The sequence below is a fragment of the Homo sapiens genome, chromosome 20, assembly GCF_000001405.40.
Source record: "Homo sapiens chromosome 20, GRCh38.p14 Primary Assembly".
Taxonomy (NCBI): domain Eukaryota; kingdom Metazoa; phylum Chordata; class Mammalia; order Primates; family Hominidae; genus Homo; species Homo sapiens.
In genome coordinates this window covers 6590405-6596672 of record NC_000020.11, presented here as the reverse complement: position 1 = coordinate 6596672, position 6268 = coordinate 6590405, and the positions used below count along the sequence as shown (strand labels likewise).

At 41.6% G+C, this 6268-nt stretch overlaps 2 annotated features.

Moving 5' to 3' along the window:
* Positions 597-891: a silencer, noted in NCBI's record as "tiled region #6314; K562 Repressive non-DNase unmatched - State 24:Quies". NCBI's record gives its function as "represses a minimal TATA promoter and a strong SV40 promoter by Sharpr-MPRA in K562 cells {active_cell/tissue: K562}" and the evidence as "EXISTENCE:reporter gene assay evidence [ECO:0000049][PMID:27701403]".
* Positions 4781-5980: an enhancer, noted in NCBI's record as "P300/CBP strongly-dependent group 1 enhancer chr20:6571340-6572539 (GRCh37/hg19 assembly coordinates)". NCBI's record gives its function as "activates an origin of replication core promoter dependent on BRD2, BRD4, P300/CBP, MED14 and CDK7 cofactors, with strong dependence on P300/CBP, by STARR-seq in HCT116 cells {active_cell/tissue: HCT116}" and the evidence as "EXISTENCE:reporter gene assay evidence [ECO:0000049][PMID:35650434]".

Sequence of the window (6268 nt, the reverse complement as noted above, 5' to 3'; positions counted from 1 at the left end):
CCTACAAACCATCAGTCAGTCTTGGCCCTTATGGCCACATTTCAAAATCTAGACTCAGAGGATTTGGTTTGTATTCATAATCTCATTTAACCATAGTGAGAAAGATAAACAATGTTTATTGAGAAAATCAGCTAATGTTAGAGGTCACTGATGATTGGGTTGATGAAGACATCAGTGACTTAGGATTCTTTTGACTCTCCTTGCTTCTTACTTTCCTGAAATTCTGGAGTGAACACAGAACATTAAATAGAGCTGACTTCTTTGTTAATTGTTCATTGAGAAAGGGCACTCAAACCTGATGATAGGAAAGAAGCAGGAACCTCCTTCTCTGGTTTTGACTTTCAACATATCCAAGCTTCTGGAATGATAAATGGAAGCAGCATCACTGTGCTACTAGTTTCATTTTTCAGATCTAGTTGTAAAAAGCTATTGGAAAAAACCTCTTAATCTAAACAAAAACCAAACAATGATGCCTACATTCCCCCAGGGAGAAGCAGAGCAATTGCTATTTATAATAATGGCAGCTGACAGCAACGGCTTTAAAAAATGCTTTCCCTCCCGTTGTCAGTTTTGGACTGAAGTTGGAGGCAAACGAAGCTCTGATAACATTGGTGTATTGTTCCTGTAGGTCCTAACCTCAGCAGGCTGCATCAGTATCTTCTGTCTGAAGAAGTTGCTTTCTTTTCATCAAACACATTCCAGAAGTCAGCGGTAAAAGCACTGACGGGGGAGAGCAGATTGATCCATTAACTCTCACCCAGTTCCTTGGCTGAACCCTCGCTTCACATTCCAGTTTTAGAGATTTGGTGAGTTATCAAACAGGAAACAAGCTCTGAAAGGAATTGTGTCTTTGGAGGTTGTTGCCAAGGCTCCTTCTTGTAGCCTGTGCACCCTAGAGAGGATGAGAGATCTGCCTCCTAACAACAGTTTTCAAGACTTCTCAAACTTTCTGCCTGAATTATGGGGTGGGGAGACCTTGTTAAAATACACGTAGTGTATACAAGTAGCGGTGGATCCTGAGACTCTGCATTTCTGTGCTTCTAATAAGCTCCCAGCTGATGCCAATGTCATGCCCATGAGCCACATTTTGAGTAGGAAGGAGCTAAAAAGCACTGGGAATCTGACAGAAGACAAGGTAGTTGCCTTTTTACCCATTTGAGTTTAAGCTTCCAACGTTATCCAACAATGCATCATATATACTTGCCAAATGACATTGGGTTGAATGCAGTGGGAAGAAATACATAAGAAACTGCCCAGTGTGTGGTTATTCAAACACCTACTGCTCAGGTTGTGAACAACACAGTCACTTTAAACCCCATGGGCCCAGTGAGAATGAGGAATCCCGGCAAAAAACAAAGGTGTGTGTCTCTAAGGTGAGAAGATTGACAAGGGAAGATAGCCTCCATACTTTCAGCAAGGCTAAAAGAGGAATAGTGATTATTTCCTCTGTGCTCAGTTCTCTTTCGGGTGACTTTTTAACCTCAGGAGGTACTCCAGGCCACTTTGAGGGGAATTCGATTTGGGTGTAGCCTTTTAAGGCACCATTCCATGTGACTAAAATAAAGATCACAAGTGAGATCCAAAGCACAGAGAAGTACTGCCTTAACAGATCTGAACTTGCGGCAAGTTGCAGCTCCTCACCATAGTCCAAGTTTCACTTTTCTCTCAATTGAAGAGCCTGAGATAACTGCTGAATTTAGTTTTCGTTTTCTCCAAGAAGAGTGACCTTCTTACCTTAAATTCTTTAAACTTACTGATAAGGTTTCATGTCAGACAGACCTGGCCCTGGTGTTTTGACATACCGCCTGTGCCATCTTGAACGCCAGACTTTTACAAATGTTATTTTCTCTTTTGTAAAATTTAAATGATGAAAACCTACCCCACGGCATTGCTGTGAATCCTAAATAAGGTAACGTATAAACCAAGTATGTATAGTCTAAATAAATCAATAAAACAACACATGCACCTATCTTTCCAATTGTTAAAAAAAAAAAAAAAGTAGAACATCTTTGTCCCCAAAAGCAGCTCAAAATTCTTCTAGGAGTAGAGAGGGCATTAGAAATGCCAAAGGATTTCCTTTGGTGGCGAATTTGACGGCTGGGAAATATTTTAGGAGAGAGAAGGCCATAATTTAAAGTATCCTGACATCAATAAATATTTCCTTAGCATTTAGCTGTGAGAGCTCTGAATCCTCTGTCTGTTCAGAAATTTCTAATTTAAAAATAATATGGTGCTTTGGGAGTTTGTGAATCCACACAAACGTCAGAAAGACCCGGTGTCGTCATAGTTTTCCACACTTAGGGAGATGTGTACACTGCCCTTATTTCTTCCTGAGATGACGAAGGAAGACAAGGTAACCTCCATTACCCCTTCAGCCCCATATCTCTTTGATTATATTGAGAAGAGGCTCAGAAATAGCATTAGTTCTGACTAGAGAGTGAGATTGGCATTAGGACAGGCCATGACTGCCCAACTGATGGGCAGATAACACCTTCAATATTCTAATTACCACATTCCTAAATAGCTGCAATGCACATCCATCTCAGCCAATTGTTTTTAAGCTCAGATGACTTTCTTGAGATTACAGAATTGGACAAAGTTTATTGCTAAATATTTGTTGAAATGGCTTATAAGGTTTCAGATAAATCCTAAATTCTTATGGTCACCTCTGATTCTGGACCAAGCATCAATCCCTTGAGGAGGCTACTCTATCCCACCCCTCTTCACCCACCATCATGGGAAGACTCCATTCTTCTTACTCTACTCTCCTGTGCCCATTCCAGACTTCAAACACTAAGATGCCAGATTGACATCTGGTTGTCTAAGAAAAAGACCATTAAGACAATTTGCAAGTAAACATCTTAAAATGACAATAGCCTTGCCTTTCTTCCACCTACCAGTCTCCCTTTCTCAATTACATTCTATTTTTCATCTTGTGGCCAGAATAGTATTTTCTTTCCTACTTAAAACCTTTCGCTGGTGCTCTGCTGTCCCTGGGATAAAGTTTGAATGGTACATGTTCTTCGTGATCTGGCTCCTGCTGATCTTTCCAGCTGTGCCTGTCTAAAAGTCCCACTCTTCCTCCTTCCCTTCCCAGCATCCAAGTCTCCACAGCTGAGCTCAGACGAACTTGGGATTGCACTCCATGTGAATGTGGTCTTCTGCCTTAGTCGCTCTTGTCCTGTGCTGCTCCCCCAACAATAGCTTACCTTGTGATGAATTCTGACTTACCATTAAGGTATCCCCCTGGACATCACTTCCTGAGATTGGTGCCTCTCCTATGTATTTCTGAATGTGTCCAGTGCTACCTGCTTATTAGTTGGTGCACCCCATTTCTAAGCTGGTAAGAACCATGCCTTATTCACTGTTATATTCCCAGCATCTAAAATCCTTCCTGCCACATTGTAAGGGTTCTGCAAACACTTGAATAAATGAATGAATAAATTACTTTCTATATAATAGTTCAGTAGTTCTGAATGTGTGGCCCACAGATCAGCAGCATTAGTTTCACCTAAAGACTTGTTAGAAATGCATTGCTGGGTGTGCTTGTGCATGCCTGTAGACCCAACTTCCTGGGAGGCTGAAGTGAGAGGATTGCTTGAGCCCGGAAGTTGAAGGCCAGCTTGGGCAAGAATGAGACTCTATCTCTTAAAAAAAAAAAAAAAAAAAAAGAAAGCAAGCAAGCAAGAAAAAAAAAAAAAAATTCTCAGGCCTCTCAGCAGACTTACTGAATCAGAAATTCTGGGTGTGGGGATCAGCAGTCTTTATTTAAGAAGCCCTCTAGGTGATTCTGAGACATTTTAACATTGGAGAACCACTATTTTAGAACAGTGGTACTCATCTTGGGCTGCAGGTTACGATCACGTGGAGTGTTTCTTAAAATGCTTGAACCAGCTCCCCCCACCTTGAGTTTTGTTTTGTTTTTTCATTCAAATAGGTTCATGTGGATTCTAGAGTACTTTTTTTAAAGCTCACCAAGTGATTCTAATATGCAGCTGGGGTTGAAACCACTCTCTTAAATTTTCCATCTCCTCCCTCTGTTCCTACCACACACACATGAAATTACCTATAAAATGGGCACTGGTTTAGTGTCACTCTGCCAGAGACTCTTGCCTTCCCCATGGTAATGGGATCAGGGCCCTGCATCAGATCCAGCCAAACAGCCAAAACCTCACTATTCAAAGTGTAGTCCAGGGAAGAACAGAGTTTGCATCCCTGAGTAGCTTGTTAGAAATACAGAGTCTCAAGCTCCACCCAGACTTCCTGCATCATAATCTGTATCTTAAAAAGACCCCAGGTGATTCCTATGCACATCCAAGTTTGAGAGGCACGAGTCTAGGAGAGAGAAAGCACTGAGCATGGTTTCACAGAGCACAGAAGTCAAATCGTATTTTGCAGGTCTTTATTTCAGGATACAGTATCATATTGTTAAAGGTATTTTGCCATTGGTGGAGCTTCTGAACAGGGCCAGAGCAACCCTTAACGTCATACAATTTCATGGGTTCACAGCATAAAATGAACCTCATGAGTCTTGGCTTCTGTTGACTATTGGGTAGAGAAGGTAACTTCTACATGAGGGTTTGAAAAAACAGACCATCCAGAAAGATCCACACATACCCAACCCAAAATAATACATTATACCTGCTTCTAACCCAATCACATTTATTGAGTGCTTACTATATGCCAGGTTTCATGCTAAGTACTCAACGCACATTAACTTAGTCTTCCCAATATCCTCATGAAGCAGGCACTGTTATTATCCCCATTATGGAAATAAGAAAGGAAGCAGAAACATGGAGAAGTCAGGCACATTTCCGGAGTAAGAACCAGAACTGAAATCTAAACCCATCTTTCTCTGGAACCTGGGGAGTAACCACAACACTATGCTCAACAATTACTCTAACGGAGAAGGAACGATGACTCCAAACAACTGTTTTTTAAACTTTAGCTTAAGAGCCCCAGACTCTTCCTCTAACAATCAGAAGAGCCAGAATTATATAGAATGGTTGCTGTGCCAACCCACAGAAGTCAAATATAACTAGGCAGCAAATTAGAGTAAACATTTAGGAATTCCTTGCATGTGGCACACGACTCCACCCACCCTTCTTGGCACAAGCCAAGACGTTGATTATATGGATCCCGCTGGCATTTCATGTCCTCGTGCGAGTCATACAGAGTATCCTTCTTACTGCTGAATGTGAACATGACCAGACTTATTTGAGTAATTTGGCATGTTATGGTGATGACTCAATAGTGCAGACCAGGGCAAGAGCTCCAGCCTATGCCCTCCCCCACACCCCTTACCTTTTTTTGTTCAATCACCTGGTATAAATAGAGGGAGAAAAGTTGTTTGGCATGATAGTCACGGCTGACGGTCATTTTCTAAGTACTGGGATTTCCTGAAGATAAAAGTCACCAATTGTCCTGGAGCCATTAACTGCAACTGATTCATAAGCCCTGGGAAATACATCTCATCTAAACAGTTTTTGTCAAGTGAGATAAGGCAGGGGAGAGAGGGGAAGGGCATCTACAGGTGCTTATATTTGGAGCAGAATTTTTGTCCCACATATGCCAGTCAATCAGCATTCCATTCTACTGACTGTCTCCCATTAATACAGTGGGGTTTTTACATGTTAACCGAATTTATAGGCATGGGAGTTTCCTGTGAAAATTCCCTGTGCACTGTTCAGAGGTGGGAGCCCTGAATGTTTATATGCTCTTTCTTTGTACTAGGTCAGAAATACTCTCATTACCAGGCAGCATCTGATAAGAGCACTACTGGGCTGTGGTCACAGAGCCTCAGGTGATGGACATTAATGGAGTAACTCAGACATTTCATGTCTGAGTTTGTGGCCCTGTAGGCGTATTCTCAATTAAGAGCATATTATCAATGTTTCTAATTCATACTACAACTTTGTTTGGAATAAGCAAAAGGACTATGTATTAGTCCATTTTCGTGCTGCTGAAAAAGACATGCCTGAGAGTAGGAGGAAAAAGAGGTTTAATTGGACTTACAGTTCCACATGGCTGGGGAGGCCTCAAAATCATGGCACTTCTTACATGGTGGCGGCAAGGGAAAATGAGGCAGATGCAAAAGCGGAAACTCCTGATAAAACCATCAGATCTTGTGAGACTTATTCACTACCACAAGAACAGTGTGGGAAAAACCACCCCCATGATTCAAATTATCTCCCATCAGGTTCCTCCCACAACACATGGGAATTATGGGAGTATAATTCAAGATGAGATTTGAGTGGGGACACTGAGC